Below are 24,734 nucleotides of genomic sequence, written 5' to 3'. Positions count from 1 at the left end.
TGCCTTTTCAAAATGTAAACCCATAGAGAACTGCAACAGGTCAATGCTTTTATTTGAAAATTCTGGGATTAAAAAAATAGTTCATAAAAATGAATGTTTATTCATTAACCCATGGTCTCTAAGAAATCAAGCCACAATAAACTCAGTAAAACTAAGATTTTTATACATCAACAATAATGAGTTTCTTTTGTCTTTGCTTTCTGTTCCCTTTTGTTTCTCTTGAGGACTTCTTGTGGAATCCTGTATTTTTACTGGAGAAAATTGTTGTTTTCTGATATTTTGTGTTATTTAAAGTTTGTGGATGGGAATAATGTCAAATAAATATGGACCGAGACCATGCTAATTTATAAGCTAGTATAATTTTTGTAAGCCTAAATCATTACTTTTAATTATTGATATGATTGTACAGAACTCACTAATTCTCCTAATTTTGCTCAGGAGTCACCCTCAGGCCTTCTCTATTTCGCAGTCTTTTTAACTTCATATAAAATGTTTCTTTTTCTTTATTGTAGGGATTTTACGGAGAAAGATTTGGAGAGGATGTGGTTGAAGTAATCAAAGACTCTAATCCTGTAGACAAGTGTAAATTAGATCCTAACAAGGTATAGTTGATTCGACTATAATGACATATAGACATCTCTTTGAAATCCTCTGTGCAATTTTGTTTGAGAAAGACTAAATGATGACTTAACAGTGAGGAAATGAAGGACTTTTTTCTTTCCTAGGCATATATTCAGATTACCTATGTGGAGCCATACTTTGACACATATGAGATGAAGGACAGAATCACCTATTTCGACAAAAATTACAATCTTCGTCGATTCATGTACTGTACACCCTTTACTTTAGATGGCCGTGCCCATGGGGAACTTCATGAACAATTCAAAAGGAAGACCATTCTGACTACGTCTCATGCCTTTCCTTATATTAAAACAAGGGTCAATGTCACTCATAAAGAAGAGGTAAGTCCATTAATGGGCAAACAGCATTAGTGAAGCAAATACATTCAAGCCATGTAACAACAACTCAGATGTACCAGAAGATATGTACCATCCCTTATACCATAACATATTAGAACTTTACCCATTTTTGAGTCCTCAATTTTTTACTTCTTTTCTAAGACCCTAATTCACCCCCAGCTTTTTCTTTAAAAGGTTGATTTTTTTTTTTTCATTTAGGAATCCAAGTTTGGAATTTTATTGTTACATGAAAGTTTACAATTGATCTTTTTTTTTTCTAATTTCAGTTGATTATACATAAAGTTCATTAAATAGTTTTCAGTCAGTACACTGATTTAACAGATGCTCTTTTACTCAGATCATCTTAACACCAATTGAAGTTGCTATTGAGGACATGCAGAAAAAGACACAGGAGTTGGCATTTGCAACACATCAGGATCCCGCAGACCCCAAAATGCTTCAGATGGTACTCCAGGGATCTGTAGGCACCACAGTGAATCAGGTTAGTGCTTTTTGCTAGCACTGTGTGATTTAAGCTGTAAATACGATTTGGGATAATTTCAGATCAGAAATAATTGTTAAGTCAGATGAAAAGGATCTGCCTTCTCTACTGCCTGTATTTTTCTACCTATGCGATCTTATAAATTCTATTAAGAAGGAATTGATTCACTTAAAATAATATTTCCTTAAAAAGCTTGTACAAAAGAATGTGATCTTTAAAACAAGGACTCATTTTCAGAGCTATGTACATATTTGCGAACCTCTACTATGTTAGATTCTCCCTGATGTTACCTTCCCCAGATCTCCTTTACAATAAGTTGTGAGGATTAAATAAGTGATATGGAATCATTTTTTTAATTTGAAAAATATATTGACACAAGAAATTATTGTTCTTTTGTCATATGCAGATTAGAAGCCATCCCCATTAGTCCTTGTGGTTGGTTCATTAAAATTATCTTGTTTATGATTTTAGGCATGGCCCCAGTCTTAGGAATATTCCATGATAAGGGAAAATACAGAAAGGCTTCAAGTAAGATTTCCTGTACCATGTCTTAACTACTTTTCAGATTAAAAGAACAAAGCCAAAAAGTGCCCCACCAAAACTGAAATAAATACCTTAAGACCTTTACAAAAGCTCTTAGAAACATGCACGATTTTAAGGTTTTGTCTCCAAATGATGTAGCTTACAAAAGATTATCTTCTTTAACACAATGTCCGGAATACCTTTGGAATACTGAGGGAACCTGTTTTAGCAAAATCAACTCTGATAATCAGCGGATTGGCAGATGTAGTAGCTTGACAACTTTTACATCCAGGATACATTAAAGAATGTGAAAAATACAAAGCAAAATACATTAATGAACATAGTAGTCAGTCCTTGAGTTCCTATTCTGTTTCTTTGAAGAATAAACTCATAAGAAGTTAATTCCACTAGATAAGAATGTAGAATGAAATTAGAAAATACTGAAATAGTCTGTGGAGTTTTAATATAGGCATAGGCATATATGCATTAAGCTTAAATGCAGCCATCTCAGAGCTAAGAAAAATCATTTGAGTAAATTCTGTCTCTGTGATTTTAGAGATAACAAAAAAACACACTTCTTATTTTCTTATTTTGCAGGGGCCTTTGGAAGTTGCCCAGGTTTTTCTGTCTGAAATACCTAGTGACCCAAAGCTCTTCAGACATCATAATAAACTGCGACTCTGCTTTAAAGATTTTACTAAAAGGTATTCAAGGCTTTCTGCGTAAAGATCTTCAAATTGAGACTGTCCAATACCACAGTATGACATAAGGGCCTTAAGGAACCATTGAAAAGAGAAAATAGGCTAGGCACAGTGGCTTACACCTGCAATCTCAGCACTTTGGGAGGCTGAGGCAGAAGAATCATTTGAGGCCAGGAGTTTGAGACCAGCCTGGAAAACAAAGCAAGACCCCATCTCTACGAAAAAAATTTAAAAATTAGCCAAGTGTAGGTTGTGCGCCTGTAGTGCCAGCTACTCGGGAGGCTGAGACAGGAGAATTGCTTGAGCTAGGAGTTGGAGGCTGTAGTAAACTATGATTGTACACTGCACTCCAGCCTGGGTGACAGAGCAGGAGCCTGTGTCAGAAAGAGAGAGAGAGAGAAAACAAAAAAACAGAAAAGCGGTTGACAATAATAAGTAATCTGTGTAGAATTTACTACTCTTTAATAGCATATACTTATTCCCCTCTCCCACAACCCTACCATACTCTATAGTGCCATGTATTTAATTTTAAAAATTAGAAAAGCCAAGGCTCAGGAAATTTTATTAACTTGAAACTACTATTAGATCATTTAATTTAAAAGCTACTATTTGTTGTGAATCTTCAGTATTTGAGTTTCTGCTTCCCTCCCCCCAGAATACTTACAAGCAGTAAACTTGGAAGCAAAAAACTTGTGTTCAGATCCTGACCTTATCATTAATTGTGCTTTTCCAGGTCACTTAATTTCTATGATCCTGCATTTTCTAATCTATAAAGTAAAGATAATGATATCTACCTCCCGTAGGGAAGCTGTGCAGATTAGGTGAAATAATTTATGGGTGTGTCCATCCCCAAGACTATCCCCAATTTCAGTGATTTGCTAGGAGGACTCACAGGACTCAGCATATAGTTATACTGGTGCCTGTGATTTATTGCACTGAAAGAATACCAAGTAAAGTCAGCAAAGGAAAAAGGTGCGTGGAGTGAAATCTGGAGGAAACCAGGAGCAAGCTTCAACGGGTCCTCTGCCAGTCAAGTCACACAGGACTTGCTTAATTCCTCCAGCAATGAGTTGTGACAGCAGGTGTGAAATGTTGTAGGGAACCTCATTGGAGACTTAGTGCCAAAAGTTTTTATCAGGAGCTGGTCATGTAGGCACTCTCTCTCTGAGATGTACCAAAATTCTAGACTCTCAGAAGGAAAGCAAGTATTTAGCAGGTGAACTGTGGTAGTAATAGAAAGAAACCTGTTTCCTGCTTTTAGAATTGACTGATTTCTGGCATTAATTTTATTATTTGGGAGGTGTAAGAAAACAACAACAAAATACACCCTACCATCTTTGTAAACCAGATGATTATGGAACAGTACATACTTCTTTAGGTCATAGACATTTAGTAACAATCAAGTGCTTTGTTTCTTGCTTTTGTTTTTGGAATATTTTGCCATGACTACAATTCTTAAATGTCCTTCTTTTTGTATACATTTACTGTAGGGTAATGAATTCCTGTAGTCAACAGGTCTCCTTAAGTGTTACTATCTGTAGAGAAGGTTTTCTCCTTTTATATTGCAAAAAAACAAACAGGTGGGGCGTGAGTGGCTCACGCCTGTAATTCCAGCACTTTGGGAGGCCGAGGCGGGTGGATCACCAGAGCTCAGGAGTTCAAGACCAGCCTGGCCAACATGGTGAAAGCCCTCTCTACTGAAAAATACAAAAATTAGCCGAGCATGGTGGTGGGCGCATGTAATCCCAGCTACTTGGGAGGCTGAGGCAGAGAGAATTGCTTGAACCCAGGAGGTGGAGGTTACAGTGAGCCGAGATCATGCCACTGCACTCCAGCCTGGGCAACAGAGTGAGTACTCCATCTAAAAAAACAAAACAAAACAAAAAAAACGAAATAACAGCAACAAAAATAAAACTACATAATATAAACCTTACAAAGGAGTTATAGCCAATACTACATTTTTTATTTTTGTGTGTTACCATTCAGTATGGTAACTAAATAGTATACCTTTATGCATATGTATTTTACAATAGTCATACGTATAATCTTAAATTATTTTTCAATTAAAGTTTAAACTATTCTAATGGTTATATTCTTCAAATTAATATACTGTAGTCATAATATACTTATAATCTTAAATTCTTATTTTTCAATTAGAGTTTAAACTATAATTTTAATGGTTACATTATTTCCTAAAATTAATATACTGGAATTTAAGTTGAATTTGAATGTGGTATAGTTTATACTACAATGGATCTTTTTCTTTTGTTAAATTAAAATTTCCAGCATGAGATGACTGAGGCACAGTACATGAACATTTTTTGTTTTAGAGACAAGGTCTCACTTTGTCGCCCAGACTCTGTAGTGCAGTGACACAATCACAACTCACTGCAGCCTCAAACTCCTGGGTTCAAGGGATCCTCCTGTCTCAGCCTTATGGTGTGCACCACCATGCCTGGTTATGTTTGGTTGGCTGGGTGTTTTTGGTAGAGATGAAGTCTCGCTATGTTGCCCTGGCTGGTCTCGAACTCTTGGCCTCAAGCTATCCTCCCACCTCAGCCTCCCAAAGTACTAGGATTACAGGGAAGAACCACCATGCCCAGCCTACATGAACATTTTTATTGGCTCACAGTATGTAGTACATTCTAAAAAGTTTCTAAGTACAGTTGACCTTGAACAACACAGAGGTTGGGGTGCTGTCCCTTGTACAGCTGAAAACCCATGAAAACTTTTGACCCTCCCCACCCCAGAAACTTAACTAATAGCCTGCTATTGACTGGAAGCCTTACTGATAATACAGTCATTAGGTACATAGTTTTTATGTTATATGTATTATATACTGTCTCCTTACAATAAAGTAAGCTAGAGAAAAGAAAATGTTATTAAGAAAATCATAAGGAAGAGAAAATATATTTTACTCTTCATTAAGTGGAAGTGGATCATCATAAAGGGCTTCATCCTCCTTGCCTTCATGTTGAGGAGTCTACGGAGGAGGATAAAGAAGTGGGGTTGATCTTGCTGTCTAAAGAGTGGCAGAGGCAGAGGAGGTGGGGGAGGTAGCAGGGGAGGCAGAAGGGGCAAGCACACTCAGTATAACTTTACAGACATCATAATTTTTTTTTTGATTTCCATAGGTTTTTGGGGAACAGGTGGTATTTGGTTACATGAGTAAGTTTTTTTGTTTTGTTTTGTTTGAGACGGAGTCTCGCTATGTTGCCCAAGCTGGAAAGTGACACAATCTCAGCTCACTGCACCCTCTGCCTCCTGGGTTCAAGCGATTCTTCTGCCTCTGCCTCCTGAGTAGCTGGGATTACAGGTGCCCACCACCATGCCTGGCTAATTTTTGTATTTTTAGTAGGGATGGGGTTTCATCATGTTGGTCAGGCTGGTCTCGAACTCCTGACCTCATGATCTGCCTGAGTCGGCCTCCCAAAGTGGAGTAAGTTCTTTAGAAGTGATTTGTGAGATTTTGGTGCACCCATCACCCAAGCAGTATACACTGAACCCAGTTGATAGTCTTTTATCCCTCATCCCAGTCTTTTATCCCTCATCCCTTCCCACCCTTTCTCACCGAGTCCTCAAAGTCCATTGTATCATTGTTACACCTTTGCATCCTCATAGCTTAGCTCCCACTTAATGAGTGAGAACATAAGATGTTTGGTTTTTTCATTCCTGAGTTACTTCACTTAGAATAAATAATCTCTAATCCCGTACAGGTTGCTGTGAATGCTATTTACTCATTCCTTTTTATGGCTGAGTAATATTCCATCGTATGTATACACCACAGCTTCTTTATTCATTGATTAATGGGCATTTGGGCCAGTTCCACATTTTTGCTATTACAAATTGTGCTGCTATAAATATGTGTGTGCAAGTATCTTTTTCATGAAATGACTTCTTTTCTTCCATTTTACTGTCAAATGGTAGTTCTACTTTTAGTTCTTTAAGGAATTAGTTCTTTAAGGAATCTCCACACTGTTTTCCATAGTGGTTGTACTAGTTTACATTCCCACCAACAGTGCAGAAGTATTCCCTTTTTACCGCATCCACACCAGTATCCATTTTTTTTTTTTTTTTTGAGTTTTTGATTATGGCCATTCTTGCAGGAATAAGGTGGCAGGTATTGCATTGTGGTTTTGATTTGCATTTCCCTGATCATTAGTGATGTTGAGCATTTTTTCATATGTTGGCCATTTGTATGTCTTCTTTTGGGAATTGTCTGTTCATGTCCTTAGCCCACTTTTTGACGAAATTATTTGTTTTTTTCTTGCTAATTTGTTTGAGTTCATTGTAGATTCTGGATATTAGTCCTTTGTCAGAGGCATAGATTGTGAAGATTTTCTCCCACTCTGTGGGTTGTCTGTTTACTCTGCTGACTGTTCCTTTTGCCATACAAAAGCTCTTTAGTTTAATTGAGTCCTGCCTATTTATCTTTGTTTTTATTGCATTTGCTTTTGAGTTCTTGGTCATGAAATATTTGCCCAAGCCAATGTCTAGAAGGATTTTTCCAATGCTATCTTCTAGTTATAGTTTCAGGTATTAGATGTAAGTCCTTGATCCATCTTGAGTTGATTTGTATAAGGTGGGAGATGAGGATCCAGTTTCATTCTCCTGTATATGGCTTGCCAATTATCCCAGTATCATTTGTTGAATAGGGTGTCCTTTCCTCACTTTATGTTTTTGTTTGCTTTGTCGAAGATCAGTTGGCTGTAAGTATTTGGGTTTATTTCTGGCTTCTCTATTCTGTTCCATTGGTCTATGTGCCTATTTTTATACCAGTATCATGCTGTTTTGGTGACTATGGCCTTACAGTATAGTTTAAAATCAGGTAATGTGATGCCTCCAGATTTGTTCTTTTTGCTTAGTCTCGCTTTGGCTATGTGGGCTCTTTTTGGTTCCATGTGAATTTTAGGATTGTTTTTTCTAGGTCTGTGAAGAATGATGGTGGTATTTTGATGGGAATTGCATTGAATTTGTAGATTGCTTTTGGCAGTATGGTCATTTTGACAATATTGATTCTACCCATCCATGAACATGGGATGTGTTTCCATTTGTTAGTGTCGTCTGTGATTTAGTTCAGCAATGTTTTGTAGTTTTCCTTGTAGAGGTCTTTCACCTCTTTGGATAGGTATATTCCTAAGTTTTTTGAGGTTGTTTTTTTTTTGCAACTATTATAAAAGGGGTTGAGTTCTTGATTTGATTCTCAGCTTAGTTGCTGTTGGTGTATAGCAGAGCTACTAATTAATGTACATTAATTTTGTATCCTGAAACTTTGCTGAATGTATTTATCAGTTCTAGAAGCTTTTTGGAGGAGTCTTTAGGGTTTTCTAGGTATACAGTGATATCATCAGCAAACAGTGACAGCTTGACTTCATCTTTACCGATTTGGATTTGCTTTATTTCTTTCTCTTGTCTGATTGCTCTGGCTAGGACTTCCAGTACTATGTTGAAGAGAAGTGGTAAGAGTGGACATCCTTGTTTTGTTCAGTTCTCAGAGGGAATACTTTCAGCTTTTCCCCATTCAGTATTATGTTGGCTGTGGATTTGTCATAGATGGCTTTTATTACATTGAGGTATGTCCCTTGTATGCCAATTTTGCTGATGCTTTTTTTTTTTTTTTTTTTGAGACAGAGTCTCGCTCTGTTGCCCAGGCCGGAGTGCAATGGCGCGATCTTGGCTCACTGCAACCTCTGCCTCCCGGGTTCAAGCGATTCTCCTGCCTCAGTTTCCTGAGTTGCTGGGATTACAGGCGCCTGCCACCACGCCTGGCTAATTTTTGTATTTTTATTAGAGACAGGGTTTCACCATGCTGGCCAGGCTGGTCTCGAACTCCCGACCTCAGGCGATCTGCCCACCTCGGCCTCCCAAAGTGCTGGAATTACAGGCGTGAGCCACCGCGCCCGGCCTTGATGCTTTTAATCATCAAGGGGTGCTGGATTTTGTCATTTGCTTTTTCTGCATCTGTGGAGATAATCATGTGATTTTTGTTTTTAATTCTGTTTTTGTGGTGTATCACATTTATTGACTCATGTATGTTAAACCATCCCTGCATCCCTGACATGAAACTCACTTGATCATGGTGGACTATCTTTTTGCTATGCTGTTGGATTTGGTTAGTTAGAATTTTGTTAAAGATTTTTGCTTCTATGTTCATCAGGGATATTGTTCTATGGTTTTCTTTTTTTGTTATGTCCTTTCCTGGTTTTGGTAGTAGGGTGATACTGGCTTCATAGAATGATTTAGGAAGGATTATCTCTTTCTCTGTCTTGTGGAATAATGTCAATAGGATTGGTACCAGTTCTTCTTTGAATGTCTGGTAGAATTCAGCTGTGAATTCATCTGTATGGATATCATAATTTCTGTCTGACATTTTTGCTTTTTCATTTTTCTAAAAATGTTTCCATATGGTACAGTCATTCTTCCACCACTTGCTTTAGTTTCTGTGCCCTTATCATAAACAGTCCATATTGTAAAAGAAGTCAGAAGCAGTCTTAGGTTATTGAAACCCTTATGCCAGATGGTCTCATGTCAGTTTGTTTTCTGGCACTGCTGCTTCCATTTTCTGCCTTATTTTCTGGCAGTGGTTCAGAAGCATTCATCTCCATCAAGTCATCTTCTGTTAATTCCTGTGGTATAGTTTCTATTAGCTCTTGAATTTCTCCAAGATCCATATCTTGAAACCCTTCACTCTCCACCTTTTAAGCCATATCTACAACTATTTCATGGTTTCTTTGATTGGCCCTGTTGTAAAACCTGTGAAGTCATGCATAACCTCTGGACACAGTTTTCTCCAGCAGGAATTGATTGTCTTGGGCCTGATGGCTTTCTCTGTAAACAGTGATGACATTTTCAATGGTATAATCCTTCCAGACTTGTGATGTTCTCCTTAACAGAGTTCTCTTCCATAGTGCTGACACTCCTTTCTATGAATATAAAGTACATGTATAATGAGCCTTATAGGTCCTTACGACCCTTGATCTAGAAGCTGAATTAGGAATGTATTTTGTTGTTCTTGTTTTTTGTGTTGTTCTTGTTTTTTGTTTTTTTTTGTTTTTGTTTTTGTTTTTTTGAGACAGAATCTCGCTGTCACCCAGGCTTGATTGCAATGGCGCGATCTCGGCCCACTGCAATCGCCTCCCGGGTTCAAGTGATTCTCGTGCCTCAGCCTCCTGAGTAGCTGGGATTATAGGTGCCCACCACCACACCTGGCTAATTTTTGTATATGGGGTCTTGCCATGTTGGTCAGGCTTGTCTCAAACTCCTGACCTCAGATGATCCACCTGCCTCGGATTCCCAAAGTACTTGGATTACAGGCGTGAGCCACAGTACCTGGCCGAGATGTTGTTTTTACGGGGGCAAGTAGACCACTTCAAGACCTTCGGTGTTAAACTTGGGGTTCTGGGTGGCCAGATGCAATGTCCAATATCAAAAGAACTTTAAAGGGCATTCCCTTAACTAATAAAATACTTCTTGACTTCATGGACAAAGCACCCATGGAGCCAATCCATAAATTGGGTTCTCATCCAGACCTTTTTGTTGTTCAACCAGAAGCTTTTACCTTTTCCCTTCAAGGTTCAGGCGTTAGCAGCTTTGTAAGTAAGGGCAGTCTTGATTATAAACCTGACTGCATTTGTACAAAACAGTAGAGTTAGCCTATCCCTTTTTGCCTTAAATCCTGGTGCTCACTTCTCTTTTTTAGTAACAAATGTCCATTGTGGCATTTTTTTTTCTAAATAGGGCACTTTTATCTGCATTAAAAATCTGTTCAGAAAAAACAACAACAACAACAAAAAAAAACCTGTTCAGGCAAATATTCCCCTTCTTCAGTGATTTTTGTATTGGCATCTGGGAGCTTGTCTGCTGCCTCTTGGTTGGCAGAAGCTGCTTCTTTGTCAGTAGAAACTGCCTCTCCTGTTTACTGGCATTTTAAAAAGGCAAACCTCTTTCTAAAATTATCAAACCATCCTTTGCTGGCATTAAATCATCCAGCTTTAGATCCTTTACCTTCCCTTTGCCTTGTCGTGTAATGACTTCACTTTTTCTCAAATCATTAATCTACAGATACACTTTTCTTACAGCAATCCTATACCCACATAAAAGCTGCATTTTTGATATGAGATAAAATGGTATTTCTAGGCCTGGTGCAGTGGCTCACACCTGTAATCCCAGCACTTTGGGAGGCCAAGACAGGTGGATCATGAGGTCAGGAGTTCAAGACCAGCCTGGCCAAGATGCTGAAACCCCATCTCTACTAAAAATACAAAAATTAGCCAGGTATGGTGGCACACACATGTAATCCCAGGTACTCCGGAGACTGAGGCAGGAAAATCACTTGAACCTGGGTGGCAGAGGTTGCAGTGAGCTGAGATTGTGCCACTGCACTGCAGCCTGGGTAACAGAGCAAGACTCCATCTCAAAAAAACAAACAACAACAACAAAAACAGTATTTCACAAAAAGTGCAAGGTTTTCATGCCTACGGGCTTACAAATTTTTTTTTTTTTTACAGTGTTCTTTACACTGGATTCATATATCTTGAGATGGTGGGCAACTGTAGCTACAGATCTCAATCTATAATACCAAGCAATTCACCTGTTTCCTGTAATGTAACTTTTTTCTGCTGCTTGGGAGCACTTCCAGCATCACTAGTGGCACTTCATGTAGGCCCCATGGATTATTCAAAGTTTATGGTTGCACTAAATACAATGAAAAATACACAAGAACTATGAGAAATCACTCTTTACTGTGATATGCAATTTACTGCAGCAACAACTGCTCACCTGGAGATAAGTAGCATCACATGGCATTTTAAGCAGATACATTTGAGCTCACCACAGTAGCAACAAGAGGTGGCTACAAAATTATGGCAGTAGTACAGTATGTACTGCAGTTTTTTTCAGTTGTGACTTAATGTATCTTTACATCTGTTTACATTTTTCTCTACTACAAATGGTGCCATGCAGGGTCCGTGTTTATGTGGGTAAGTTTTGTATATATTTTATGATAGTAAATAATAAAATAGGCTAGTATCTTCATATACTTTATGCATTCATGACATCTTTTTCTTTTTAAAATTTTTCTCAACTACACAATTTGTTTTCAAGTCTTTTCGCAAATCTCCAAAGAGTTACATTCATTGGAAAAAATCCACATATAAGCAGACTTTCACAGTTGCAAATTATGTTGTTAAATGGTCAGCTGTATTAACAGTGCCAACAGTGCACATTTATTAGTCTCAATACACCTTGCATTTAAATAGGATTTTTTTTTTTGGTCAGTCTGTTTGTTTTTGTTTTTGTTTAGGGGGGATGGATTCTCTCTCTGTCACCCAGGCTGGAGTGCAGTGGCGCGATCTCGGCTTACTGCAACCTCTACCTCCCGGGTTCAAGCGATTCTCCTTCCTCAGCCTCCCAAGTAGCCGGGATTGCAGGCACGCACCACCACACCCAGCTAATTTTTGTATTTTTAGTAGGGACGGGGTTTCGCCATGTTGGCCTGGCTGGTCTCGAACTCCTGACCTCAGGTGATCCACCTGCCTCAGCCTCCCAAAGCGCTGGGATTACAGGCATGAGCCACTGCGCCCAGCCAATAAAAGCAAATTGAGGCACCATTTAAAACAGACTGATGGCTAGGCATGGTGGCTCAGGCCTGTAATCCCAGCACTTTGGGAGGCCGAGGTGGGTGGATCACCTGAGGTCAGGAGTTCGAGACCAGCCTGGCCAACATGGCAAAACCCCATCTCTACTAAAAATACAAGAAATTAGCCGGGCATGGTGGCATGTGCCTGTAATCCTAGCTACTCGGGAGGCTGAGGCAGGAGACTCCCTTGGACCCAGGAGGCAAACGTTGCAGCAAGCCGAGATGGCACCACTGTGCTCCAGACTGGGTGACAGAGCGAGACTCCGGCTCAAAAAAAAAGAAAATGGCTTTTATTACTAAAAACAGTAAGCACTTTTCCATGTGTTTACTTTTTGTTTTGGGGTTTTGTTTTTTTAAAACGTTTTTCATTAAATCTTGAATAGATTGAAAATAATATTTATAACATTTGCTGTTAAAGAATAGGAAGAAAAAAGTCATGTGTCTACCACCCAGCCTAAGAAACCAAGCATGACCATGACTTTGAGATCCCCTCCCTATGTTTATTTATCTGATACCATTTCCCTCCATTCCTTCAGGGGTAACCAGTATCCTGAATTTCATATTTATCATTTCCTTTCTTGTCTTTATAGTTCTATCATAAATGGTTCCCTAAATAACATATTTTGTTTTGCATTTTTTTAACTTTAACAGTGTATACAATGTTTTGTGAGTTGCTGTTTTCAGTGTTTGTGAGATATATCTATGGTAAATGTTGCTTTATTTTTACATAATCCGTTTTATGAATATGCCATGATTTATTCATTCTTCTGTTGATGGATATTTTGGTTGTTTCCTGTTTTGTTTTGTTTTTAGTTACAAAGAGTGCTACTCAAATATCCGTCTACCTTATTTCTGGACATACATGTACAAGAGATTTTCTAGGGCTTAAAATTAAGAATAGTGTTGCTGGTTCATAGGTTCATCCTCAGACGATGCCACATTTTTTTCAAAAGTGTGTAAGCCAAATTTACATTCCCATCAGTAGCATTTGAGTTCCTATTACTATATATCCTAACCAATACTTGATATTATCTAACATTGTAACTTTTACCAACTAGTGGATGTGAAATGATAGGTAGTCGTGGATTAAATTTGCATTTCCCTGATTACCAAAGAGGTTGAATATCTCTTTACCAAAGAGGTTCATGTGTCTGTTAGCCATTTCTCTTCCCTCCTCTGTAAAGTTACATATTCAAGTCTTTTATCATTTTCCTATTGGATTCTTTTCCTTACTGATTTCTAAGGGTATTTGTGTGTTCTGAATGCTTTATCATTTCTTAATATCACAAATATCTCCTCTGAATTTGAGACTTCTCATTTTTCCCCTACAAACAGAAGTTCTTAAATTTAATGTAGTTAAATGATTCAGTCTTTTCCTTTATCAATATAGGTTAAACAAAGGGTGGGGGAGGCAAAAAAAAAAAAAAAAAAAAGCTTTTTCTACTTTAAAAAAATGTGCCTGCAAGAGCCGGTGAGTGCCTGTAATCCCAGCTACACAGGAGGCCAAAGTAGAATGATGGCTTGAGGCCAGAAGTTCAAGTCTACGTAGTGAGACCCTATCTCTTAAAAAAAAAAATCCATTTGCAATTGATTTTTGTGTATGGTTCAAGGTAGGGATCAGTTTGATTTTTGTCCATACTGATAACTGATAATGATCTCAGTGCCATTTATTGAATATGGTATGAGATATGGTTTAGGTTTTTTTTCCCCTTACAGATATCCAGTTGACTCATTACCACTTATTTAAAAAGCATTCACAGGTTTGTGGTGAAAGTCTGGTTTGCTGTGTCATCACTATTATAAATTTCTTTCTTTCTGGTTTGCAGTGTCATCACTATTATAAATTAAGCACCCGTGTTTATGTGCCTATGTTTTTGGGATCTTTATTCTCCTACAGTACTCTATTTATCTCTCTTTCAGCTAATGTCATGCTCTCTTAACTACTGCCGCTTTATAATAAGCTTTGCCGTGTGGCAGAGCAATTCCTCTCACCTTGTTTTGTTGAAGGACTGTTTTTGGCTGTTTTCAATTTTATATAAATTTTAAATTTTAGAATCAATTTTTCACTCCATGCACCCAAAAAATAACCTGAATTTATAGATCAGTTGGAAGAGAATTGACATCAGTCCATGAATATGGTATATTTTTCCATTTACTTAGGTCTTTTAAATGTTTTCTTAATACTATTTAAATTTTTTGTGTAGAGGTCTTGTACATTTTAAAATTTATTCTTTAGTATATAATGCTTTTATGATTTTATTAATTTTTTTTTTTTTTGAGATGAGTTTTGTTCTTGTTGCCCAGGCTGGAGTATAATGGCAAGATCTCGGCTCACTGCAACCTCCGCCTCCTGGGTTCAAGCGATTCTCCTACCTCAGCCTCCCAAGTAGCTGGGATTACAGACATGTGCCACCACGCCTGGCAAATTTTGTATTTTTAGTAGAGATGCTGTTTCTCCATCTTGGTCAGGCTGGTCTCGAACTCCTGACCTCAGGTGATCCGCCCGCCTCTGCCTCCCAAGGTGCTGGGATTACAGGCATGAGCCACTGTGCTCGGCCTTAATGTTATCTTTCAAAATTGTGTTTTCTGTTTCCTGCTCTACCAAAAATCAGTTGACTTTTATTTTATTTTATTTTATTTTATTTTATTTTATTTTATTTTATTTTATTTATTTTTTGAGATGGGGTCTCACTGTGTCACCCAGGCTGGAGTGAGTGCAGTGGTGTGATCATGGCTCACTGCAGCCTTGACCTGCTGGATTCAAGCGATCCTCCTGCCTCAGCCTCCCAAGTAGCTGGGACCACAGGTGTTCACCACTATACCTAATTTTATAGTGACAGAGTCTCACTATGTTGCCCAGGCTGGTCTCTCACTCCTGGGCTCCAGCAGTCCTCTGGTCTCAGCCTGCCAAAGTGCTGGGATTGCAGGTGTGAGCCTCTGTGCCCAGCTGCAGTTAACTTTATATATTACTTTTACATGAGAATTTTACCAGACTTACTTATTAATTCTAATAATTTATCTTATTAGAATTATTATCTTAATAGACTTATTAATTCTAATAATTTATCTGTAGAATCTTTTTCTTGTCTTATAATGATATTTAGGACGTCCAGTACTCTGTTGACTAGGAATAGAGAGGACATCATTTTCTTGTTCCTTCTCTAAAAGGGTTTTCACCACTAAGTATGTTTGCTACAGGTTTTTTGTAGATTTTTAATTATGGTTAAAGGACTACCCACCTATTTGTAGTTATGCAAAGAGTTTTTAATATGACAGGTTTTAAAAGTTTGTTATCAAGTGCTTTTATTCTGCATCTCCTTTAATCTTTTAATCTAAAAACTTAGTGATTTTATAACCCAACTTTTCATTTATTCCAGGAATTAATAAACTTGGCCAGTGTGGTACCTTATGCCTGTAAATCCCAGCACTTTGGGAGGCTGAGGCAGGCAGACCGCTTGAGCTCAGAAGTTTGAGACCAGCCTGGGCAACATGGCAAAACATTATCTCTGCTAAAACTACAAAAATTAGCCGGGCATGATGGTGCACGCCTGTAGTCCCAGCTAATTGGGAGGCTAAGGTGGAAGGATCCCTTGAGCCCAGGAGATCAAAGCTGCAGTGAGCTGAGATCGTGCCACTGCACTTCAGCCTGGGCAAAAGAGCAAGACCCTGTCTCAAAAAAAAAAGAAAAAAAGAAAAATACTTGGAGGGTGTGTGTGTGTGTGTGTGTGTGTGTGTGTGTGTGTTCAATACATTGGCACAAGTTTTCTGCTAAAATTGTCCATCAGTGTGCCTTCTGTGGATACCAAAATCTGAAGACAAGTTTAATATGTTATATAAAATGGTGTAGTATTTGTATATAACCTATGTACATCCTCCTGTATACTTTAAATCATTTTAGACTACTTAAAATACCTAATATATAATGTAAATAGTTGTTAATATTGTATTGTTTAGGAAATAATGACAAGAAAAAAGTCTGTACATGTTCAACACAGTTTTTTTAATTATTATTTCAATCCATGGTTGGTCTAATTCATGCATGCAGAACCCACAGATAGGGAGGGCCAACTGTGTTTTGTTTGGAAGTTTTACAATTATTTTTATGGGTGAGCTTGGATTATAATTTTTTTCTTATAGTCTCCATTAGGTTTTGGTATCCCAGCCTTGAAATATGAGTTGGGAACTCCCCTCAAGAATAGTTCTTTTCCCCTATACTCTGGAATCTTTTTTTTTTTTTTTTTTTTTTTTTGAGACGAGTCTTGCTCTGTCACCCAGGCTGGAGTGTAGTGGCGAAATCTCTGCTCACTGCAAGCTCCGCCTCCCAGGTTCATGCCATTCTCCTGCCTCAGCCTCCCAGTAGCTGGGACTACAGGCACCCACCACCACACCTGGCTAATTTTTTGTATTTTTTCTTAGTAGAGATGGGGTTTCACTGTTAGCCAGAATGGCCTCGATCTCCTGACCTCATGATCCGCCCGCCTTGGCCTCCCAAAGTGCTGGGATTACAGACATGAGCCACTGCACCCGGCCTGGAAGCATTTTTTTATATACTCTAGAATAATTGCATTACATTCGGGTATTGGTCCCTAGGATGTTTAGTAGAAGTTAGTGTTTTCTTTGTAGATAGATTTGTGACAGTTGTTTCAACCTATTGGATTATTTTAGGATTATTGCCATTTTTTTCTTCATTGAGTCTGTTTTGCTAAATTATATTAATCTAGATTAACAGATTATTAATAATTTAGCAAAAAATCTACATTAATCTATTAATATCAATGAATATAAATTCAGAGGGTTTTTTTGTATGAAATTGTACAGTTTTGTAAATTGTACAATCCCAACACTTTCGATGGCTGAGGTAGGCAGATCACTTGAGGCCAGAAGTTCAAGACCAGCCTGGCCAACATGGAGAAACTCCATGTCTACTAAAAATACAAAAACTAGCCAGGTGTGGCGATGTGAGCCTGTAGTCCCAGCTACTCAGGTGGCTAAATACGAGAATCACTTGAACCCAGGAGGCGGAGGTTGGAGTGAGCAGAGATCATGCCACTGCACTCCAGCATGGGTGACAGAGCAACACTGTCTCAAAAAAAAAAAAAAAAAGTACATTATATCCTCTCTGCCTTTTAAAACTTCTGCTGTATTTAACTTTATGTTCCATTTTAAATTTCTGGTAGGGGATATTTGACCTCTTTCATTTAATCTTGCCAGAGCTTAGTTTGTTTTTTTAGTTTTTTCAAAGAACCAACTTTTGCAATTTTTGATACTCTATTTTAAAATCTTATTTCCTTTCTAATACTTTAAGTTGCTTAACTCTTCAGTTTTAGCCTTCTAATATAAGCATTTGATGCTATGTGTTTTCTACTAAGCATCACTTTAGTGGCATTCCACAAATATGTAGAGATATATATATTATTTGTAAATATCCTTTCCTTCATTGTCTGTCAGGGTCCAGATACTTTTCTCAAATACTTGAATTAACTTGGATAAAGGACTGTCATCAAAATCTATTCATTTAGCCGGGCACGGTGGCTCACGCCTGTAATCCCAGCACTTAGGGAGGCCAAGGCGGGTGGATCACGAGGTCAGGAGTTCGAGACCAGCCTGGCTAAGATGGTGAAACCCGTCTCTACTAAAAATAAGGAAAATTAGCTGGGCGTGGTGGCAGGCGCCTGTAATCCCAGCTACCCAGGAGGTTGAGGTAGGAGAATCGCTTGAACCTGGGAGGCAGAGGTTGCAGTGAGCCGAGATCGCGCCACTGCACTCCAGCCTGCGCTACAGAGTGAGACTCCATCTCAAAAAAAAAAAAAAACAAAACCTATTAAGAAATATTTGAACACAGGCAGACACTGTGCCAGATGACATTGGTGCCACATAAATGAGCATGATTACATCCCTGAAAGAGCTTCTAGTCAAGTGGTGATGTGAAAAAAATGCCTTCAGATAATTTTCAATTTAATGACACTGGAAGTAAATAGTAGATTTTACAGGAACTCAGTTGATTATCTGTTCCCTGCCTTAAACCTAAAACAAAAGATGATTATTTAACATTCAGCTGAAAAACTAAATGTCCTCATCATGGTGAATACACACACATTTGTTTCAGATAGTCCCACTCGGTTGCCCAGGCTGGAGTGCAGTGATGCAATCTCAGCGCGCGCGTACACACACACACACACACACACACACACCCACGTTTGAGACAGTCCCACTCTGTTGCCCTGGCTGGATTGCAGTGGTACAATCTCAGCTCACTGCATTCTCCACTTCCTGGGCTGAAGCATCCTCCCACTTCAGCCTCATGAATAGCTGGGGCTACAGGAGTGCACCACCATGCCTGGCTAATTTTTGCATTTTTTTGTAGAGACGAGGTTTTGCCATGTTGTCCAGACTGGTCTCAGAACTCCTGGGCTCAAGTGGTCCACCTGCCTTGACCTCCCAAAGTGCTGGGATTACAGCCATGAGCCACCATGCCTGGCCTATATTTTTGTGTGTATGTGTGTGTGATTAGGCCCACATATATAGTCTGTGTTGTGTGTCATTAAGCCCACATATATATGTATATGTATTTTGCGTGTGTATGGCATTAAACCCACAAACTATGCCAGAAGTAATATCTTGATAACATCCTGTTTTTCCTAGGTGTGAAGATGCCTTAAGAAAAAATAAGAGCTTAATTGGGCCGGATCAAAAGGAGTATCAAAGGGAACTGGAGAGAAACTATCATCGCCTTAAAGAGGCCCTACAGCCACTGATCAACAGAAAGATCCCTCAGTTATACAAGGCAGTATTGCCTGTCACCTGCCACAGGTATGCTTATTTTTAAGTGGTTTTAGATATTCTTTCCTCTGAAACCTAACATGTTAAACTAGTAGAAGTCTTTTTACAGCTCGAGCATCTGTCATCCGAAAAGCTTAGGACCAGAAGTGTTTGGGGTTTCAGATTTTGGAATATTCGTGTTACACTTACTGGTTGAGTATCCCTAATCCAAAAATCTGAAATGGTCCAGTGAGCATTTCCTTTGAGCATCATGTCAGCGCTTAAAAAGTCTCTGATATTGGAACATTTCAGAATTTTGGATTAGGGATGTTCAACCTGTATCATCTATAATCATTCTACAAGGTAAATAACTTGAGAATCAAAAAGTTGGTACTCATTAACCGGGACACCACACAAAGTCTTGTCATTAACTTGGAATTTTCTACAACGAAATCCTAGTTCTATTATTTAAGCAGATAATTTTTTTAGATTTCTCCTCTGTATAATGAGATAGAACTTAAAGAGGTTTTTGTGGAGATTAAATGACATTACAGATGTGAAGTTCTTAGGACAGTGCCTGACATTTCACTTTATAGTACCGGAATTCTGGAAAGGACACAATAACTGCAGAAAGTAAACTTTCTTGCATTTTGAAATCGAATTTACATACAAGTATTGAAGATGGTTTCCTCTCAAAATTCCCAATGGGAAACATACTAGTCCCCTCCACTTTTGGTTTCCCCTTCAATCTTTTTGAAAGTTTTTCCTTCTTGCTGCTTCCACTCCCCCTCTCCCAGTCTTATACCCACCAGGTCAGAGATCCCAGAGAGCCAGGGTGCTGGGTCCCTGAGATAGGCCTAATCCTCATCTCAGTTCCTTCAGATCTCCATGGAAACTCCTTTCCATGGAAAGGCTGTATTCTTCCTGACCAAAATTTTGCCTTACAACATCCGAGTTTTTGCCGTCCTCTATGATCTACTTTTTGGCCAATCCTCCAAGCTTTAGTTTTTAACATATGTAGGCAGTTTTGAAAAACTTTTTCTTGATGAACAGTATCTAGTTTTCAAGACTGCTGTTTCCCTTCAAAGCAAGCTTTGAGATTTGAAGCCAATGTGATCTCTTTGTACTTGGCCTTTTCCTTTCCTGGAGATATTAAGCCTCATGGCTTAACCTTAATGGCACGAAGGATAAGTAAAAGAAACCAACTGATAATGGAAAATATGTTAAGAGTATTCCAGGAGTATCGTTCCCTTCACTCTTTTTTAGAATTTAAGTTTAAAATTCTTCTTTAGCATTTGAATTTTTAATTTTGCTGGTTTATGAAATCAGGAATATTTGCAGTAGGGATCCTGGACCCATGAGAGGGGAGTCCCTAAGACCCTTTCAGGAATTTCCCTAAGTCAAAACTAATTTCATATTAATGCCAAATATTGGCCTTTTCTCACTTATTTTCTTGTGAGGGTACAGTGGAGATTTCTACAGGTTGAGATGTGACATTGGAAAAGATTGACTATAGAAGCACATGTGAGAACATAGGCATTAAGCCACACTCCTACATGAGTACCACTCTCCTAAAGCTTCTTGCAGATCATTTTTAATAAGCAATGCTATTTATAGTAACATGTAATGGGTTATTTTATAGTAACTTAAGATGTTCTTAGTTTTAATTTCTGATATGATAAACATCCATATATAGCCCACATAAAAGATTCCTGGGGTTCTCAATAATTTTTAAGAGTGTAAAAGGGACCTGAGACAAAGTTTGAGAACTGGTTTAAGACTTAAAATTTAATAAACACCTGCCTTTTGCCGTGTAAAAAACCCCAAATCTTTTCCTAAAATCTCTCCCATTATCCCTTAAGTCCTTGTCTTGTTTATTACAATATCTGCAGCATCAGTCAGACAAACGAATACAAAAGACCAGTAAGTGGTGACTGTAATACACTTCTATAGCTAAATCTATAAGCCAAAATATAAGGCAGAGTAGGTAGGATGAGCATCCAACTTGGAAGTTAGTAAGAAATGGTGGCAAAACTTTAAGGTAACTGGCAGAAAAAACCATGTAAGACATTTAAAGGTATATGCAAAAATTGTTCTCTTTAACTAACTATGTCCTCTCATTTTTTTCCCAGAGATTCCTTCAGTCGAATGAGCCTTCGCAAAATGGATCTCTAAACTGAATGCACTTGTTTTATTCATCTGCAAAGAGCCATGTATTCAACATCGAGTGTGAAAAGATCTATTGGAAAACAACATGGAATGGAATTCTGGAAATTATTATTCATTGAAGAATGCAGTGGCCAAGAAAATATCAAATGTAGATTGTTAACGCTTGAGAATCATGGCTATGGTTTCTAATGTTCTGGTAACAAGCTGTTATCTTTTAAGACATTTTAATGACTCAAAGGTACACTATACATTTACCATTATTTATACCATAGCTAAGGTTAAAAATTTATTCACTTTAAGTTCGTATTTTTTAATTTATATTACCATTTATAGATTCATTTTGGAACCATTTTAAATGTAGTAATGCTTATTTTAAAGGTACTATTAAATATGTGAATGTTTACACTAATTTTACCGAGTGGGACTTCAAAATTTTTATTATTGACAATGGCAGAGAACAATTAAAGGGTTGACTCAAGAACTAGTTCCAAACCTAGCAGAATAAAAATCATAGATAGCCCCAAATTAATGAGTTTGGTAACTGTTTCAAAGTTATTTTCCATTTACATACCCAAAACAGGAATTTAGAATTGCAGAACTTTACTTAGTAAAACCTTTGTGTAAAATAATTTAAATACGGGGATAACTAATACCAGTGACAACACCTTAACTTGATTAAATCTTATTACACCAATGATAGTAGTAAGAACTTCATGATTCTTAGCAACTAAAATGAATGATTTCTCTGTTTCAAATTAAAACCAGCCATCAGTTTTTGACGATGTAAACCAGTAAATTAGAATCTACTTAAAGCTATCTTGTAGCACCATGAAGGTAACACAGCTGGAGTTTGAGAAATTACCTATTTTCTGACACTTGTAAAGTTTAGAAGCATATAAAAAGTAAAATTAGGTGCTTTAATTCATCTAAAATTATATGCAAGTCATACAGAAAAAAAATTTGAGAAGTAACATTTTAATTCTTGGCAAGTTTTTCCAAAACGATGCATAGTAATGATTTCCAGAACAGTTTAGAACAATGGTTTTTGGGTAGTAGTGCAGTTTACAGAATGGCATCATTTATAATCCTTTTCTTCTACTGACCAGTTACATGAATCACTTAAGAACTAACCAGATCTGGGTGCGGTGGCTCACATCTGTAATCCCAACACTTTGGGAGGCCGAGGCGGGTGGATCACGAAGTCAGGAGTTCAAGACCAGCCTGGCCAAGATGGTGAAAACCCGTCTCTACTAAAAATACAGAAATTAATTAGCCAGGCACAGTGGCAGGAGCCTGTAATCCCAGCTACTTGGGAGACTGAAGCAGGAGAATCGCTTGAACCCGGGCAGCAGAGGTTGGAGTGAGCAGAGATGGAGCCACTGCAACTCTAGCCTGGGCGACAGAGACTCCGTCTCAAAAAAAAAAAAAAAAAAAAAACTATCATCTGTACACACACGCACACACACATACATACATACACACACATATATATAAAAGAACTGATCAGATTGGCTGGGTGCAGTGGCTCAGGCCTATAATCCCAGCACTCTGGGAGGCAGGGGCAGGCGGATCATGAGGCCAGGAGTTCAAGAACAGCCTGGTCAATATGGTGAAACCCCATCTCTACCAAAAACACAAAAATCAGCCAGGTGTAGTAGCCCGTGCCTGTAATCCGAACTACTTGGGTGGCTGAGGCATGAGAATCACTGGAACCTGGAAAGTGGAGGTTGCAGCGAGCCAAAATGGCGCCACTGCACTTCAGCCTGGGCGACAGAGCAAGACTCTTAAGTCAAAAACAAAAACCAGCACTTTGGGAGGCCGAGGCAGACAGATCACGAGGTCAGGAGATTGAGACCATCCTGGCTAACAGTCAAACCCCGTCTCTACTAAAAATACAAAAAATTAGCCAGGCGAGGGGGCAGGAGCCTGTAGTCCCAGCTACTCGGGAGGCTGAGGCAGGAGAATGGCGTGAACCCGGGAGGCGGAGCTTGCAGTGAGCTGAGATCACGCCACTGCACTCCAGCCTGGGTGACAGAGCTAGACTCCGTTTCAAAAAAAAAAAACAAAAACTGGTCAGATTTAACGTATTGCCTTCATTCTATAGTCAATGTAGTAAATATTCAAAATATACTAAAAAATATCTACTTCTGAGAGCCTAAGTGATGGTTGATATCCCACACTCCATGTACTTTAATGGGCAGTATCATCTCAAATTCCTCTTATCTATATCAATTCAAAGACTGAATCACAAAAACATTTTTCAGATGAGTCTACATTGTTAGACCAAATCTGAGTCAGAAGGGCATAACCTCAAAACTCTATTTGAGGAGCCAAATGAACAATAAGGAAAGGTAAGGAGTCAAGAATGGAAATCCCTCCCCTCCAAAAAAAGTGACATTTTCCCTTCTTCTTTGGGGGTCAGTGGTGGGTATAAACATAAGGGAGAGAATAAGGAACCACTGAAGGGTCACTTCTCATTAGGTTACATTTATATAACAGTTTGGACAAAAATCTCAGAAATCTCAGTAATATCAAGGACTTTATGATTTATATAATTATGCAAAACCAATTATTTTCTGACATCCTTCAGAACAGAGGCTTCCTCTTAAACATTCGTATGATACAAACCTCTTACAAACTTCATTTTTCTTAAAATGGAACTTTCTCACATCAGGAATTTGTGTTAGTTCTTAGAACTGGCTGTCTCTCGAGTATTAAGAGGCCCAGTGTCTATCTTAGACCCATTCCATTCAAAACTTACAGGTAGCGCTCAGGACTGTTTAAGGATTTCCATTAGTGATTCTGAAAGGTGGGGAGAACCATGACTTTATTACCATCTCATCATCCTATGAAAGAATATAAGACATTATGTAACTGTGTTTTTTTTTTTTTGAGACGGAGTCTCACTCTGTTGCCCAGGCTGGAGTGCAGTGGCGCAATCTCGGCTCACTGCAAGCTCCGCCTCCTGGGTTCATGCCATTCTCCTGCCTCCGCCTCCTGAGTAGCTGGGACTACAGATGCCTGCCACCACGCCCGGCTAATTTTTTGTATTTTTAGTAGAGACGGGATTTCATGTGTTAGCCAGGATGATCTCGATCTCCTGACCTCGTGATCCACCAGCCTCAGCCTCCCAATGTGCTGGGATTACAGGCGTGAGCCACCGCGCCCAGCCTACTGCGATTTTTTTTTAATTGAGAAGGTACTCCTTGTTGAAATGGGGTATTAAAGTGTTACCCCAATAGCATTTACATATTTAGAATCATTTCTAGGAAAAACTTAGTACCAAGAATGTCCATTAACAAGTCATGAAATCATTCATCACTTACCACTTCAGTATACTAGTTTAAAATGAAATTTTAACCAAGTTTTTATGTGTGCCCAAAGCATCATCTTAACTTTTCCAGTTTTGGATTCCATTAAATCATGTCTACTTTAAAGGACAATTAGATGCAACAGATTTCATTATAAACCTCTTTTAAGTATGA

The 24,734-nt window shown here is 38.4% G+C and overlaps 1 protein-coding gene across 12 annotated transcripts in view; it reads left to right on the top strand.

Annotated features, from left to right (window-relative positions):
- DOCK7 (dedicator of cytokinesis 7) overlaps positions 1 to 21,943 on the top strand; it is a 233,661-nt gene extending 211,718 nt beyond the window's left edge. For all 12 annotated transcript variants that reach the window (XM_047432967.1, NM_001272001.2, NM_001272000.2 and 9 more), the window contains 6 exons: positions 513 to 602; positions 726 to 962; positions 1,318 to 1,461; positions 2,581 to 2,687; positions 18,964 to 19,131; positions 21,213 to 21,943. In XM_047432967.1, the coding sequence (XP_047288923.1) occupies positions 513 to 602; positions 726 to 962; positions 1,318 to 1,461; positions 2,581 to 2,687; positions 18,964 to 19,131; positions 21,213 to 21,255 (789 nt within the window). In that variant the 3' untranslated portion in view covers positions 21,256 to 21,943. The remainder of the gene's footprint in view (positions 1 to 512; positions 603 to 725; positions 963 to 1,317; positions 1,462 to 2,580; positions 2,688 to 18,963; positions 19,132 to 21,212) is intronic.

Source organism: Homo sapiens, chromosome 1 (genome assembly GCF_000001405.40).
Source record: "Homo sapiens chromosome 1, GRCh38.p14 Primary Assembly".
Lineage (NCBI taxonomy): Eukaryota > Metazoa > Chordata > Mammalia > Primates > Hominidae > Homo > Homo sapiens.
The sequence above is the reverse complement of the archived record's forward strand: the minus strand, read 5'-3'. Positions and strand labels throughout refer to the sequence as shown.